This window comes from Homo sapiens, chromosome 22 (genome assembly GCF_000001405.40).
Source record: "Homo sapiens chromosome 22, GRCh38.p14 Primary Assembly".
Lineage (NCBI taxonomy): Eukaryota > Metazoa > Chordata > Mammalia > Primates > Hominidae > Homo > Homo sapiens.
The window spans coordinates 22,583,824-22,600,789 of record NC_000022.11 but is presented as its reverse complement, the minus strand read 5'-3'; the positions used below and the strand labels follow the sequence as shown (position 1 = coordinate 22,600,789).

Below are 16,966 nucleotides of genomic sequence, written 5' to 3'. Positions count from 1 at the left end.
TGTCAGGGAGGCAGCTGCACTGAGCCCCATGCACTGAAGGAAGGGTATTCTGGTCTCACTTACAGCCTGGCTGGGAGCCCATGGAAGAAACTCTTATCCACATGTCAGAGATTTGCTCACTCTGGTGATGGTCAGAGAGCATGGATGGATGCTGGGCATTCAGAGAATATTGACAGCTGGTGGCTAATATAACTCATAATCCACCCTGGTTTGATTTCTCTGAAACCAGCCTAGGCATCTACTCAGGATGATGAGGAGGGTAAGGAAGCTTCTACTTAAAAAGCAGAGGATAAAATCTCCTACGTCAGCATGAAAAGAACAAGAACAGCCTGAAAAGCTACCTTTTAAGGTGCGCAAGAGATCAGGCACTTTGCAGAGGGCCCGGAGTCCTTCTGGGCTGTCAGGTAATGCCCCACCTGAGAGCTTGGTGGTGCACATCCCACCTGCAGAGCCCCAGTGGGCAGCTTAAGCCATGTCTGAGGCATTGTTGGGAATTCGTTTTTTGTTTTGAGATGAAGTCTCACTCTATCGCTCAGGCTAGAGTGCAGTGGAACGATCTTGGCTCACTGCAACCTCTACCTCCCAGGTTCAAGCGATTCTCCTGCCTCAGCCTCCCGAGTAGCTGGGACTACAGGCACGCACCACCACGCCCAGCTAATTTTTGTATTTTTACTAGAGACAGGGTTTCACCAGTTGGCCAGGCTGATCTTGAACTCTTGACCTCATGTGATCCGCCCACCTTGGCCTCCCAAAGTGCTGGGATTTGGGATCCTCCCAAAGAGCCACCGTGCCTGGCCCATTGTTGGGAATTTGAATTTTGTGCCCCCTGGAATTCATATGGTGAAGTGCTATCCATCAGGACCTCAGAATGGGAACTTACATAGGAAAAGGGTGGTTGCAGATGTGATTAGTTAACATCGGGTCATACTGGAATAGAGTGAGCCCCAAATCCAATAGGACTGGTCTTTTTATAAAAAGAAAAAACTTGGACACCGACATGAACAGAGAGAAAACGTCATATGAACATGGAGGCAGAGATTGGGGTGATTCACCTATAAGCCAGGGAACAGCTAATACTGCTACACCACCAAAAGCCAGGGGAGAGGCATGAAACAGACCCTCCCTCAGCCTCAGAAGGAGCCAACCCTGCCAACACCTTGATCTCAGATTCTACCATCGCCATAAGATTAGTGAGACAATAAATTTCTGTTCTTTGAGTCATGTAGTCTGTGTTACTTTTTATGGCACCCCAGGCAAAATAATACAGACAGCTCTAGGAACTCTGGGCTCAGGGAACCTCCTGCAGGGCTGGGCTTCTTGAAGATGCTTTGGTCTCTAACGCCACAATCCCCTGGGGAGGGGCCTTCCTCTCCTGTGTTTTCTTCTCCCCTACAGTGTCTGAATTTCCTTTCCAGGAAACTGCCCCAACACCACAGGCAGAAAACTGTCTTCTGTGACGCCTCCCACCCATGTCTTCCCCTCTGGGCTTTGGTGGGGTCTCTAATCAGAATCATAGGCCACTCTCCAGCTCTGGGCTGTCAGGTGAGGGGTGAGACCCTGGGCAGGGAGGGATGGGCCAGGACATGGGGGCCAGAAAACCTTAGACACCCTTCAGATGAGCTCAGCCACCTCTTCCCAATCCCCTGACTACACCTCCTCCTCATGGATGAAGTTGCAACCCTTGGTTCTACAAACTCCTCCGCTTCCCTCTCTGGTTGACTTCATCACCTTGAAACAGTTTCCGAGATGCTGAGAGAATTGGCAGGAGAACACCCAGGGATACTCTCCTTATCTCCTATGCCTCAATTTTAAATTATTTAAGTCTCTCTTGTCCCAAACAGAGGGTTTGCGCTGCCTTTCCTCCATCCCAGGTCCAATTTTCATGTGCGACGACAGTAATAATTGCTGCCAACTAGGAGTACCTGGGTGTGTCAGGCTCTATGTCAAACACTTTATAAATATGATTAAATTACATCCCTGCATTCTTGTTAGGAAAAGACTTGCTTCCTCTCTCCCATTGGTCTCTGTACGCACTGGCTCCCCTTCATCTTCTGCCATGAGTGGAAGCAACCTGAGGCCCTCAACAGATGCAGATGCCCACTCTTGAACTTCCGGCCATCAGAAGCTTCAGCCAAAGAAATCTTTCTTAAAATTTATAAATTTCTCTGCCTCAGATATTCCTTTATGGCAATAGAACATGGACTAAAACACCAGGGGAGGAAGGACAGAAGGTCACCTTTGCTTCTCAGACAGTGCCTTCCTTGGCAGAGTCTCACCTGTGCTTGAGTGAGGAGGGCGAATAGGAGTTAAGCCACTCAAAGTGTGGTTCTTGGAGGACAAGCAGCATGAGCCTCACCTGGGAGCTGCTGGACATAGAGACTCTGGGGCCCCACGCAGACCTGCTGAGGCTGCATCTGCATCTTAAACAGACTCCACAGGGGATTTGTTTGCTCACTGGAATTTCAGAAGCTCTGGTCTAAGCCACAGTGGAAAATCTCACTTCCTCTGCTTTAGACAACAAACCCCTGTCTCCCCCAAGTATTTCACAGGCCACCAGGGTCGGGTGCTTAACTGCCCTGCCCTCATCAACCTGAGCTTGATTCCAGTGTTAGGCCCTGTCATATACGCAAGAAACGTTTCAGGAACAGACAATTTTATAATCTAGCTGGGCATAGCCCTGGAGAGAGCACAATATATCAATGAGATTTCCAGAGAGAAATAGATGGTTCATGCCATTGTTCTTTTGTTATCACTCAGCTCCAATTAGTTTGGACTCCTTATTTCCAGACATATTATGTTTTCCTCTATGTTCTAGCCTCTCTATTTTTCTCTTTGACTGAATCCTTTCCCGTGTGAGACCCCACTCCTGACCCCCAGAACATTTGGACACACAATATTGCAATTTTTTAGCATTTATCAGTAAGTATCTTCACAGTTGGATATGGGATATCCAGGTTTTTTGCACAGAATAACACCCCCTCCAATATCGGCACCACAAATCTTACTTTTTATGATGCTCTAGCAAGTCTGGAAAATCACAAACAGTAATGTTTCCCTACATGAAAACATTTGATGTGACTGTTGAGATGATCACGTGGTTTTTGTCTTCTGTTTTGTCTGCATCTTCACCAGCACTTGTTATTTTTTTGTCTTTTTAATGATAGCCTTTCCAGCTGGGGTAAGATGATGTCTCGTTGTGGCTTTGATTTGCATTCACCTGATGATTAGTGACGTTGAGCATTTTTTCATATGCTTGTTGGCCACCTGTTTATCTTCTTTTGAGAAAAGTCTATTCTGATCCTTTGCCCCCTTTTCAATGATATTACTTGATTTTTTGGTTGTTTGCTTGCTTTTGAAGCAGTGTCTTTCTCTGTTGCCCAGGCTAGAGTGCAGTGGTAAGATCATGACTCACTGCAACCTCCACCTCCTGGGCTCAAGTGATCCTCCCACTTCAGCCTCCCAAGTAACTGGGACCACAGGCTCACTCCACCAAGGCTGGCTAATTTAAAAAAAAAAATTTGTGGAGATGAGGGTTTCATTATATTGCCCAAGGTGGTCTCAAACTCCTGTGCTCAAGCAATCCTCCCACCTTGGCCTCCTAACTGCTGGGATTACAGGTGTGAGCCATCACATATGGCCTATTATTTTATTTATTTATTTTTTCTTCGAGACGGAGTCTTGCTCTCTCACCCAGGCTGGAGTGCAGTGGCGCGATCTTGGCTCGCTGCCAGCTCCGCCTCCCGGGTTCACGCCGTTCTTCTGCCTCAGCCTCCAGAGTAACTGGGACCACAGGAGCCCGCCACCACGCCCAACTAATTTTTTGTATTTTTAGTAGAGATGGGGTTTCACCGTGTTAGCCAAGATGGTCTCGATCTCCTGACCTCGTGATCCGCCCGCCTCAGCCTCCCAAAGTGCTGGGATTACAGGCGTGAGCCACCGCGCCCGGCCGTTTGTAGCATATTTTGAATTAGGTAATGTGATGCCTCCAGTTTTGTTTTTTGCTCAGTGTCATTTTGGCTATACTGGGTCTTTTGTGGCTCCATACAAATTGTAGAATTGTGGGGTTTTTCTTCTATTTCTGTGAGGTATGTCATTGGTATTTTGGTAGGGATTTCAGTGAGGCTGTAGATTGCTCTGGGTTATAAGTTTTTTCTTTTCATATTTTATAAATATAGCTCCACTACTTCCTGCTTGCATTGCTTCTAATAAAAATTCTGCTCTTGTCATTGTGTTCACCTGTATCTAACATGTCTTTTGCCTCTGACTTTTTTTTTTTTTTTTTTTTTGAGATTGAGTCTTGCTCTGTTGCCCAGGCTGGAATGCAGTGGTGCGATCTCAGCTCACTGCAACCTCTCAGGTTCAAGCAATTCTCCCTGCCTCAGCCTCCCGAGTAGCTGGGATTATAGACGCTTGCCACCACATCCGGCTAACTTTTTTGTATTTTTAGTACAGACGGGGTTTCATCATGTTGGCCAGCCTGGTCTCAAACTCCTGACCTCAGGTGATCCACCTGCCTCGACCTCCCAAAGTGCTTGGATTACAGGCGTGAGCCACCTCGTCTCTCTGGCTACTTTTAAGGCTACATTTCTTCACCACATTTCTTCATCATCATTTTAGCATAAAATTGCTAAAATGTTTTTTAGCAATTTGATGATGATGAGTGTTGTTGTTTTCTTTATGTGGGGTGTGAGTGTGTGTGTGTGTGCGTGCACACACGCTCTGGAGTGTTCTCTCAAGTGTCTTTGGATGGTTCTTTTCTCTTCCAGAGGTTGTTTCCTCCCACATATGTGCTCATCGGTGCTCACGAACATTTGCAGACTCCAGAGTCCTCTCTCTGTGCAACTCTCTCCTCTTTGTTACTCTTCCCTTTGGACTGTTTTGGTTTGTTTTTAAATCTTTTAATTCCCCAGACTCCTACTCTGAGAGGGGGAATTCCATGCAGTGAGGTTTAGGGATATATTCTCAGGAAAGAAGTATGGGAGGCATGAGTGGGAATGTGTTACAATTGAGTGCTCAGCTGCAACACACTTCAAGGCCATCCTAAATTAAGGCCTGACTTTGGGATTGAGGCATCAAGCAGTCATTGCACCTGAGCCACGCTCTGACATGGGCAAACTTTTGGGGGAGGCCATTCTTTGCAATCAATGGCATTTTCCGGTGGGGAGCAGCTGTGAGAAGCCAGGGCCTCCCGGCAGCTTTGGGTGTATGGCGGATGGGTGAGCCCTGAAAGGGGAATCTTGATGGACACCACACTGCCCATTGTGGTGGCCCTCCCTGTTCAGAATATGAGGATGTCATGGAGCTGGGGCTTGAGGGTCTCAGTTAAACCTGAGAAGTTCAGAATGATCTGGGGCATTTGGGCCACAGAAAAGCAGCACTGCCTTAGGTCCAGTCACCATACAGAAGGAAATCCAGGGACCATTACCACTCAATGGCTGTCTCCCTCTGACTATCCTTACACTCAGGTCATCTTAAGCCAAGACACAGCCACTCTGGACAATACCAGGACAGTCTGGTCCTGCCAGCCCCAAGTCCTCTCCTGACCTAACCCACTCTCTTCAGAGTCTCCCTGGAGGGCTTGGAGGTCAGGGCACCCTGGGGTCTCAGATCCAGGAAAACTGAGCCAGACCTGCCCATGGCTGTGTCCACAGTCCTGCTGGGGCCGGAGGAAGTGAGTGACACAGACAGAAAAAGGGTTTGTGTCTCACTTTTCCATCTGCCTGTGTCACTGTGAGTTGAGTAGCATGGTTGTCTATCAACTGATAGTAATAATCAGCCTCATCCTCAGCCTGGGCCCCAGTGATGGTCAGGGTGGTTGTGTTGCCTGATTTGGAGCCAGAGAATCGCTCAGGGATCCTTGAGGGCCGGTCACTGCTATCATAGATGACCAGCACGGGGGCCTGGCCTGGCTTCTGCTGGTACCAGTGTTCATAAGAGCCTTCCATGCTGTCTCCCTGGCAGGTGATCCTGGCCATTTGTCCCAAGGCCACAGACACTGCAGGCACCTGAGTTGGCCCAGAGGAAATAACGGAGCCCACAAGAGAGGACAGGAGAGGTGAGTCTGAGGATGAGGGCCTCATTCCCAGAACCCCACACCCTGCATCACTCCCTATGTTGAGTTGAAGGTCAGGGCCAGGCTGATCTTGATCCCACTGGGGGCTGAGCCCTGGGAGGCAGCACCTGTGCAGAGAGTGAGGACGAGCAGGGGAGGGGTCCAGGCCATAATGGAAATGCCCCAGAGCTCTGCCTCTGAGTCCACAGCTGGGAAGGGACCTTCAGGCCTTTCTTATCATAGAAAGGGGAGTCTCTTCATGCAACTCTACTTCCTTTATTCTTAATTCTTTGTTAGTTGGTTCCCTGTTAAGCAGCGGATGTAAATCTGCTCTCCATTCTTTAAAATGTATGTCGAAGTTCTTGTCTGACCCTATGTCTGAGGACATTCTCTGCGTAATTTTTCAAGAGTAGAAGAGTCAGGTGGGTTTCAGGATTCCACTCAATAGAAGGGGCCAGAAAGGAAATGACTCAAGTACTACCAGGGACTTGGAGCCATTAGTGTCCCAAACCAGGGGTCACAGTGCCCCCTGGTGCCCACAGGACAAATGTCATCCTGTATGTATCAATAGATCATACAGCAGAATGGCTACCTTCGATTTTTGCGGGGCGGGGGTTAGTTTTTGTGTGTGTGTGCGTTTGTGTGTGTGTGTGGTGGAGTCTCACTCTATCGTCCAGGCTGGAGTGCAATGGCACGATCTGGGCTGCAGAATGACAACCTTTTTTTTTTCCTTTTTGTGATGGAGTCTCACTCTATCATCTAGGCTGGAGTGCAATGGCACCATCTGGGCTCACCGCAACCTCCGCCTCTCAGGCTCAAGCTATTCCCCTGCCTCAGCCTCCTGAATAGCTGAGATTACAGAAGGGCACCACCATGCCTAGCTATTTTTTTTTTTTTTTTGTATTTTTAGTAGAGATGGAGTTTCACCATGTTGGCCTGGCTGGTCTGGAACTCCTGGACTCCAGTGATCCCCCACCTCGGCCTCCCAAAGTATTGGGATTACAGGCATAAGCCACCATGCCTGGCCTACTTTTGAGCCCTTAATATATGCCAGATGCATTGGTGAGTGTTTTACAAGCATAACTTCAAGAAAACTTGCATCATATGGAGTAGGAAGATGAGGAGCCCTATGCTCAGGGCCCAGATTTTATTAGGGAATCAATATTGGGAGGTGAAGTTTTTTCCCCAAGTTCCCCAGACAGTAGTGAGTGGAGTCCCAGTTCCATCCAGGAAACGAACCTCAGAGCATGACCTTCCAGCCCCTCCCTGCCCTGCCTCCTGCACCCTGCTCCATCTGTTCCCCCTACCCAAGGTCTTTGGGGTCCCTCTTGTTTTCATTTGCCAGTGCTGCCATCACAAGATACCAAAGAACTAGTGGCCTCAACAGCAAAACTTATTTTCTCAGTGCTGAAGCTGGAAAGTCCAGGGTGAAAGTGTTGGTAGGACTGATTTTCCCTGAGGCCTCTCTCCTTGGCTTGCAGGTCGTTACCTCCTTGCTGTGACCTCACATGGTCTTTCCTCCGCCTGCTCATCTCTGGTGTCTGATTTCTGTGTGTGCAAATTTTCTCTTCTAAGGAGAACACCAGTCAGACTGGATAAGAACCCACCCTCATGACCTCATTTTCACTTAATCACCTCCATAAAGACCCTGTCTCCAAATTTAGTCACACACTGTGATTAAGGCTTCATTGCATGAATCTTGAGGGACACAATTTAGCCAATAAGCCTCCACCCTGTGGACTCCAAAGCTTATTTCTTTCTCACTTGTAAAACACATTCACCCCATCCCAGTAGCCCAAATCATTAACTAACTCAGCACAAACTCTGAGACCCAAATACCTCCAAATAAAGTGTGGATGAGACTCCGGGTGTGATTCTTCCTGAGGCATTAAAAAATAACAGCTTTAGGAAAATTTTCCTCCTCTTTCCTGTCATCTGGGTGTTCAAAAAAGTCAAAGCTCCCACTTTATTTGCTAAGATTGAAAGAGGCTTTGCTCCTGTTTCCTTCTTTCTCCCTTCCTGAGACTGAGGGGCAGTCACAGCTGCTGGCTGGCGAGCACTTATGGAAAACGCAAATGGGTCAGTTGAAAAGATTGGCAGTTGGGCCAAGGTCCCCACAGAGAAGGGATCCCATACCACTTGCTGCTGCGTGCACGTCCAAGAGTCTCCTTTCCCCAAAGAGACTTTGGGCCTGATAGATTTAACTTTGAGTCTCTGGCTGATTTCCTCTTAAACAAACCTCAGTTCTTTCTCAAAAACTTTCAAGTAATGGAAATTGTCCATTTCAAGTCCATATTGCCCTCTCTGTTGGCTGGGCATGGTGGCACACACCTGTTGTCCCAGCAACTCAGGAGGCTGAGGTAGGAGATGGAGCCACTGCACTCCAGCCTGGGCTACCGATTGAGAACCTATTTTTTTTTTTTTTTTTAGATTGCCCACTCTGAGTCTACTTAAGCTTAGAAGTCCTAGATCCAGTTAGCACCTGTGTGTCAAATGCCATGTTTATCTCCTGGTGCATTATGACCAGGGGAGAATGCACCATTGGCAGGTGCTTCAGAAGAAAATAGGCCAGGGCTGCTGCAAGCCCTCCTGGTGAGTCAGCGAGAATATGCAGTGGGTGTGTGCTACATAGGGACCAACAGGCACAGAACACACGCTGCTGTTCCCAGCTCCAGGACAGCTCAGACAACTAAAGAACCTGCCTTCAGCTGGTGGCTGCCTACCCTGTAAGCAGTGTCCACATGGTGCTTGGGCAACACAGTTGATGGGGAATGAAAAGCAAAAGACACTTGGGATTTGAGTCTATTTCTTTATAATCTGAGATTTTCATTTCATGGCGATTTAGAGAACCAAAAATAGCATCTCTCCCAGAACGGAATCATTTGTCACAAGCTATTATCAAATATGCCCTTCAAATTGTGTCCAAATTTGTCCAGATGTTTTCAAATTATGCTTAACAAGCAAATTAAGATACCATTAATATTGTGTGTATCACCAACGTGCTCTTAAACCATCACTCATGTAATGCTCCAGGGCCATGCACTTCAGTCTGAATTTGAGGACAGGGGCAGGGAGGGATCTGTGCATGAGCACAGGAGTGACCGTTGCTCATCTTCTCATCCACAGACATACGAATCTGTCCACAAGTGACAGGGACTGAATTGCTTAAACTGCAAGCTCCAGGTTACTGTAATCAGAGGCCACATTTGGTATTGCACTCCAGTAAGTATGTAGTTGTGACTTCTGATGATCTTTAGAGCTATTTTAGGTCATTCTTTATGAAAAAAAATCCTCATCTTCTCAGAATGCAAGATGGATTGCAAACACTGCATATTTAATAGGAAAAACAGGGAAACAGCAGGAGAGACGAGTGGAGAGAAAGCACAGCTATTTTTATAGTGGCAGAAAGGATAGGCATGTTACAGATGCTATGTCAAGGAGCAACAACTCTCCTATTCCTGCATGGCCCAGGTGAAACAGCTGCTATAAGTCCAATGAAAACAGAGTCTAGAAAAGCATTTGGTAAAGATCCTCTACTCCATACCTAAGCTTTGACTAATTACACATAGAAAGACCAAGGAACCTGTTCAAATTTAAAATGCTCTGATAAAAGTAACTAATTGCTCAGTTTCACAGTAGCATGACATTTGGAAGCTATGTAGCTAAACTAGGCTGGGGTTAAAAAAAATTAAATCGCGGTTATTAAGAAGTCAATATGGAAAGAAAAAGTCTGAAAACACTCCTAGTTCAAATTGTACCCATTTTCAGTGGTAAAACTCAGGATAGGGTTTACCTCCGATTTACCTGATAACCAATGTGACTGAGCTGCCAAGACAGCTCTGGACATGGGGCAGAGGCCCTTTATCCTGTCCCTGCTGTGAATGCCCCTTCTTGCCATCCCTCCAGGTAGGTCTGAGTGCACCCCCAGGGTCCTGTGCTGGTCCCACTGCTCCATGGTGCCTTCCCTCTGACACTGGGATGCTACCCACTGTGGGGAGCTCCCCTTTTCCCTGACTTCATCTACATCTGCCAAAGAGGTTAGGGACAGTAGAAGCCCCCTCAGGCTGGGCCTGGCCACCTGCTCTGGCCTCTGAATGCAGCCCCGCCTGACAGCTTGGCTGCAATTTCATGAGGAGCCCAGAGTCAGAACCACCAAACTAAGCAGCTCTCAGATTCTTGATGCAAGAAAACTACAAGATCACAAATACATTAATATGGTTTGGCTCTGTGTCTCCACCCAAATCTCTTCTCAAATTGTAATCCCCATGTGTTGAAGGAGGGACTTGTAATCCCCATATGTTGAGGGACGGAAGGGATTGGATCATGGGGGCAGTTTTCCCCTTGCTGTTCTCGTGATGGGTAGGGAGTTACCATGAGAGCTGATGGTTTTAAAAGTGTCTGGGGCCAGGCACAATGGCTTGCGCCTGTAATCCCAGCACCTTGGGAGGCCTAGGTGTGCAAATCACTTGAGGTCAGGAGTTCGAGACCAGCCTGGTCAACATGGTAAAACCCCATCTCTACTAAAAATATAAAAATTAGTCGGTCTTGGTGACGCATGCCTGTAATAACAGCTACTCGGAGACTGAGGTAGGAGGATCACTTGAACCTGGGAGGCAGAAGCTGCAGTGAGCCGAGAGCACGCCACTGCACTCTAGCCTGGGCAACAGAGTGAGACTCCATCTCAAAAAAAAAAGTATTTGGAAGTTCACCCTCCCCAGCTCTTCTCACCTGCCACCTTGTGAACAAAGTTCTTGCTTCTCCTTTGCCTTCTACCATGATTGTAAGTTTCCTGAGGCCTCCCCAGCCATGTGGAACTGTGAGCCAGTTAAACCTCTTTCTTTTATAAATAAGGTATTTCTTTATAGCAGTGCGAAAACAGATTAATGCATATGTGTTCTCATTAAGAATATGTTAATTTTAGGAGTAATTTTTATGCAACAATAGACAACTAAGGCACTTTATGTTTACTAGAATCTATTTAATTCAGGTTCATGAACTCTAAACTACAATAATAACTATGTTTAAAGATTGGCTCACAAAATTCCAGAGAATTTAAATACTGGACTCTGGATATGTCTGAATATTTTTAAAATTTTTAATTCTCACAGTCTGTCGATTAATCAGGATTCCAGCTAGAAATTGATGATTTCCCCAGAAAAATTAGATATATTTGATGCCCATGAGAAAGAGTGGGTGTGTTCAGCTCAACTCTTCCCTGTGGAGCCATTTTGGAAACTTCCATACTATGGGGAGATTGTCCACCTGTAGGGTGTTTCCAGGACAGGGACTCAGTGATGTGAGAGGAGGAGGATCCTGAGAGGGCACCAAGTCTGTCACTCAAATACTCCCTAGCTCGGCAACCTGAGATATTAGGGCAAACAGGATGGACCCTACACACACACACACACACACACACACACACACACACACACACACTTCTTCCTCTTTGTTTTCATTGCTTTAAAACATCTTTGGAGCTTTACACAGTGGTTACTGCTTCCACAAAAGATGTACATGAATAACCCAGCAAGGTGGGCTATCTTCACTAGAGTGGGGTGTTCACAGAGCAGTGGTCCTTTATCATTGAAGAGGACGTCATTTCTGAAGAACTGAATCCAGGCTGTGCTACACAATGTGGGAAGTGGAGGCATTCGACGTAAGGATTTACATTGACGACTTTAGTGCATACAAAAATAAAAATAAATAATAAAGTGAGGATCATCCGGAGAAGTATGGGGACTGCACTAGGCAGGCATTTCCCTGCCGGTATGTACTTCCTGTTAAAGAGCTAGAAGTAGTTTCCAATTCAGAGAGGACATCCGTCATACGAGTGAAGAAGAAGCTGTCATATCCCGGAGAGTAAACAAGAGAGGAGGTTTCCTTTGGGAATTGATGGAAAAGGAGAGGAGCTGACAGAGAAGTGAATTCTCAAGGCCCTGTTGCAGGAAGCCCCTGGCACAGGGTGAGGAAGCATCTTCAGAGCAAAGACAGAGCCTGAGAGCCCAGGGCAGGTTTTGGTCTCAGTTCCCTAGGAACTTGGACCACTATGGAAAGTGTAACTACTTGAATATAAGCTGCAGTGATAATTAGCCTCAACCTCGGACTTGAGCCCAGAGATGGTCAGGGAAGCCATGTTGCCAGACTTGGAGCCTGAGAAGAGGTCAGAGATCCCTGAAGGCCGAGTATTGACATTGTAAATCAGGAGTCTGGAGGTAGTGCTGAGACGCTTTTGGTACCAGAAGACATGATCATAATCCCCAACGTCACTGCTGGTTCCAGTGCAGGAGATGGTGACCGACTGTCCAGGAGCCCCGGACACAAAAGGAGGCTGAGTCAGGGCAGATTGGGCCCAGGACCCTGGAAAGAGGGAGAAACACACTCTACTGGGTCAGTACTGGGTCCAGTGACCCTGAGGAGCAGGAGCAGAAGACCAAGCATCAGCTCAGAGGTCCCCAAGGCCATTTCCCTGGAGGTGTCACCTGTGCCCTGAGTGAGGAGGGTGAGGAGGAGCAGAGCCCAGGCCATGGTGGAGATGTCCCGAGAGCGCTGCCTTGAGACCCCAGCACCGGGCCTGCCTCTAGCCCTGTCTTATCCCCCCGCCTCAGAGGAGGGCAGGGCCTCCATGCAAATCTGTGTCCTGAGCTCCTCTCCTCACCCCACCCTCACCTGGGCCTGGGCTCAGAGACTTCTGCTTCCCTGTGAGGCTCAGCTGAGGGTATTAATCCAGCCTAGGCATGGATTTCCTGAGACTGAACCCATGAGAGTGCCCAGGACATCAGGCCAGTCCAGAGATATCCTAACCCTCACTATTGCAGGAGCTCCAGGCTGAGGAAACCAGGACTTCTCCTTTGTGCTGTGAGGGATGAATGTGAGGACAGGCTGCTCCCAGGCCGGGTGGGAAAGTTCAATCACTCCTCCTCCCAGAGACTTCAGACAGTGCTGGAACTTCTCATTTCCCTCATCCCCTGCCCAACCATCTTGGTCCTCTCAGCTAAGGTGGGTTCTAAGCACTGCTACATCCCCTGCCCCTGCAGTGGTTTAAAGCTGGGGCCTGACATGTTGAACTAGGACCATTAATGGTGCTTCTAAAAAGGAATTCACTGGGCCACAACAGATTTGGAGCACTGCTTCCCAGTACCTTTAGAGATATTCAAGGGTAAGTAGCTCTTGGGATTTCTTTTTTTTTTTTAATGGCTTTTTATTAATGAGCAGCTGTTCATAGTTAATCATAAAGTCACATTCTTTTTTTTGAGATTCAGGGACTTTTTTTTTTTTGAGATGGAGTCTCGCGCTGTCACCAGGCTGGAACACGGTGGCGCCATCTCGGCTCACTGCAACCTCCAACTCCCTGGTTCAAGCAGTTCTCCTGCCTCAGGTTCGCGACTAGCTGAGATTACAGGCATAAGCCACCACGCCCAGCTAATTTTTGTATTTTTAGTAGAGACGGGGTTTCACCACGTTGGCCAGGATGGTCTCGATCTTCTGACCTTATGATCCACCCTCCTCAGTCTCCCAAAGTGCTGGGATTACAGGTGTGAGCCACCGCGCCCGGCCGACTCAGGGGCTTCTTAAAGGTCAGGATAAACTTTATCAATCATCTTCTCCAACCTAGTCCCCTGCTGCCCCCTGGTGGCCTCAGATGGTTCATCTCAAGTACCAAGACACAATTCTAAGTGAGAGATAGAAATACCTGGTTTGGTCCCACTCCAACCTGCCTTTTTCTCCTCCCAGCTCAGGACCAGACCCTCGATCCATGCTAATCTTGACCCTTTTCCTCAGACTTTTTCCATGATGAATGTGTCCTCTGCCATACCAGGTGGCTAAGATACTCGTTCTCAGGACCGTTTTGCTTGTGCTAGAATGGCTTTGTCAAAGGTACATGAGGTGTCTTAGCTCCAGGCTGAGAAAATGTTAGATGTAAAATGAACTAACCTCAGTATGAGCACTGGGTGAGAAAAATGGTATGAGAAAAGACCACCTGGGTTCTCAAAATGTCTTCTTACATGCACAGGGTATATTCTCCAGGAGAGAGCTCATGTTTGGTCACAAAACAAGTCTTAAGAAATGTAAGGAGAATTAAATCATTCCAAAAATCTTTTTTTACAACAAGAAATGAATCTGGAAATTAATAACAGTAAAAAAAAATGGAAAAATTCACAAATAGGCAGAAATCAAACATCACATGTTGAACAAGCATTGGGTCAAAGAGGAAAACCAAAGGGAATTTTAAAAATATCTTCAAATGAAAATTAAAACACAGCACACCAAACCTATAGGATGCAGTAAAAGCAGTGCTAAGTGGGAAGTTTATGGAGATAAGCAAACATTAAAAAAGAAGAAAGATCTCAAATAAGCAACCTAAAATTATAACTCAACGAACTAGAAAAAGAGGAACAAACTAAGCCCAAACTTAGCAGAAAAAAATGAAATAATAAAGATTACAGCAGAAATAAATCAAACAGATAATAGAAAAAAACAAAACTAAGAGATGGTTTTCTGAAAAATTAAACGAAGTTGACAAATCCTTAGCTACACTGTGAAAAAAGAGAGAAGACTCAAATAAAATCCAAAATGAAAAAAGGAGCTATTACAACAGATTTCTCAGAAATAAAAAGGCTCACACCTGTAATCCCAACACTTGGGAGACCGAGGCAGGTGGATCTCTGGAGCCCAGGAATTCAAGACCAGCCTGGGCAACACAGTGAGGTCACATCTATACAAAAAAAAGAAGAAAAGAAAGAAAGAAAGAAAGAAAGAAAGAAAGAAAGAAAGAAAGAAAGAAAGAAAGAAAGAAAGAAAGAAAGAAAGAAAGAAAGAAAGAAAGAAAGAAAGAAAGAAAGGGAAAGGAAAGGAAAGAAAGGAAAGAAAGGAAAGAAAGGAAAGAAAGGAAAGAAAGGAAAGAAAGGAAAGAAAGGAAAGAAAGAAAGAAAAAGAAATTATCCAGGCATGGTGGTGCATGCCTGTAGTCCCAGCTACTCAGAAAGCTGAGGTGGGAGGATTACTTGAGCCTGGGAGGTTGTGGCTGCAGTGAGCTGTGGTCAAGCCTCTCCACTCTAGCCTGGGTGACAGAGAAAGACCCTGTCTCAAATAAATAAATAGGATCATAAGGGACTATTTTGAAAAATTATACACCAAGCTAGATAAATTAAAAGACATAAATAAATTCCTAGAAACAGTCAACTTAAAAAAAAAAGCAAATCAATAAAAAATACAAAGCCTGAACATACCAATAACAAAGAAGGAGATTGACTCAATAATCAAAAATATCTCAACAAAGAAAAGCCCAGGACCAGATGGCTTCATAGCTGAATGTTCTACCAAACATTCAAAGATGAGTTAATATTAATTCTTCTTAAAGTCTTCCAAAAAATAGAAAAGGGAACACTTCCAAAATTGTTTTATGAGGTCGGGATCACCCTGATACCAAAACAAAGCAAAGACAACACCAGAAAAGAAAAAAAACTGCAAGCCAGTCTACCTCTGATAAACATTAACAGATATTAAATGCAAAAATTCTCAGTAAAATACTAGCAAACCAAATTCAACAGTATGTTAAGAAGATCATACATCAGGAACAGGTGGGGTTTATCCCTGGATAAAAGGATGATTCCGCATGTGCAAGGATGGTATAGCGCATCCACAGGCTGAAAGATTCACACACACACACACACACACATATGATTATGTCCACAGATGTACAAAAGGCATGTGGCCAAATTCAACATCCATTCATGATTTTAAATGAAGATGAAGAAGGAGGAGGAGGAGGAAAGAAAAAAGAAGAGGAAGAGGAGGAGGAGGAGAAAAGAAAGGAAAAGAAAAGGAAGGAAAGGAAAAAAGGAAAGGAAAAGAAAAGAAAGCAATGGAAAAAAAAGGAAAAGAAAAGAAAAGAACTCTCAACAAAATAGTGATAGGCCGGGCACAGTGGCTCATGCCTGTAGTCCCAGTATTTTGAGAGGCTAAGGCAGGAGGATCGCTTGAGCCCAAGAGTTCAAGACCAGCCTGGGCAACATAGCAAAATTAATCTCTATTATAAAATAAATATTTAAAAAAACAAAAATAAAATGAAATAGGTACAGAAGAAACTTACCACAACACAATAAAAACCATATGTGAAAAGCCCACAACTAACATCATAATCAATGGGAAAAAAACAGAAGCTTTTCCCCTAAGATCCCACACAAGGCAAGATGCCCCCTCTCCACTTATTTTAATTCAACATTGCACTGGAATCCCTAACCAGAGAAATTCGACAAGAAAAAGAAATGAAACGCATCCAAATTGGAAAAGAAGGATTAAAATCCTAATCTTTGTGTGCAGATGACATAAACATAAGTGTAGAAAAACCTAAAGACTCCACAATAACAAAAAGTCTGTTAAAACTAAATTAAGTAAATTTGAAGGATAAAAAAATCAACATACAAAAATTGATGACGTTTCTACACACAGACAGTAAATATATGAAAATAAAATTAAGAAAGCAATCACATTTACAAAAGGAATTAGTACTTAGGAATAAACTTAACGAAGGAGGTGAAAGAGTTTTACACTGGAAATTATAAAACAGTGATGAAGAATGTTAAAGAAGATACAGATAAATATCAAGACATCTCGTGTTTATAAATTGGAAGAACTAATATTCTTAAATGTTCATACTACCTAAAGTGATCTCCAGATTCAATGCTAGACCTATCAATACACAAATGTCATTCTTTATAGAAATAGAAAAAATAGGCCAGGCATGGTGGCTCACACCTGTAATCCCGGCACTTTGAGAGGCCGAGGCAGTGGATCACTTGAGGTCAGGAGTTCTAAACCAGCCTGGCCAACATGGTGAAACCCCGTCTCTACCAAAAATATAAAAAATTAGCCAGGTGTGTTGGCACGTGCCTGTAATTTATCAAAAAGATAAAC

At 45.4% G+C, this 16,966-nt stretch overlaps 2 gene segments (V, D, J or C) and 1 further gene, besides 2 other annotated features; all 3 read right to left on the bottom strand.

The window, feature by feature from the left end:
• Positions 1 to 16,966, bottom strand: part of IGL (immunoglobulin lambda locus) — an 896,838-nt gene that overhangs the window by 322,124 nt on the left and 557,748 nt on the right.
• Positions 5,528 to 6,027: an enhancer, noted in NCBI's record as "H3K4me1 hESC enhancer chr22:22937233-22937732 (GRCh37/hg19 assembly coordinates)". NCBI's record gives its function as "activates a minimal SCP1, AML or CMV promoter by ChIP-STARR-seq in naive H9 embryonic stem cells {active_cell/tissue: H9 hESC(naive)}" and the evidence as "EXISTENCE:reporter gene assay evidence [ECO:0000049][PMID:30033119]".
• Positions 5,734 to 6,223, bottom strand: IGLV3-32 (immunoglobulin lambda variable 3-32 (non-functional)). The segment is given in 2 exon segments: positions 5,734 to 6,034; positions 6,181 to 6,223. Coding segments are annotated over 2 exon segments (344 nt in total).
• IGLV2-33 (immunoglobulin lambda variable 2-33 (non-functional)) lies at positions 12,102 to 12,577 on the bottom strand. The segment is given in 2 exon segments: positions 12,102 to 12,409; positions 12,532 to 12,577. Coding segments are annotated over 2 exon segments (354 nt in total).
• Positions 13,558 to 13,852: a silencer, noted in NCBI's record as "tiled region #7390; HepG2 Repressive non-DNase unmatched - State 13:Ctcf, and K562 Repressive DNase unmatched - State 25:Art". NCBI's record gives its function as "represses a minimal TATA promoter and a strong SV40 promoter by Sharpr-MPRA in HepG2 and K562 cells {active_cell/tissue: HepG2 | K562}" and the evidence as "EXISTENCE:reporter gene assay evidence [ECO:0000049][PMID:27701403]".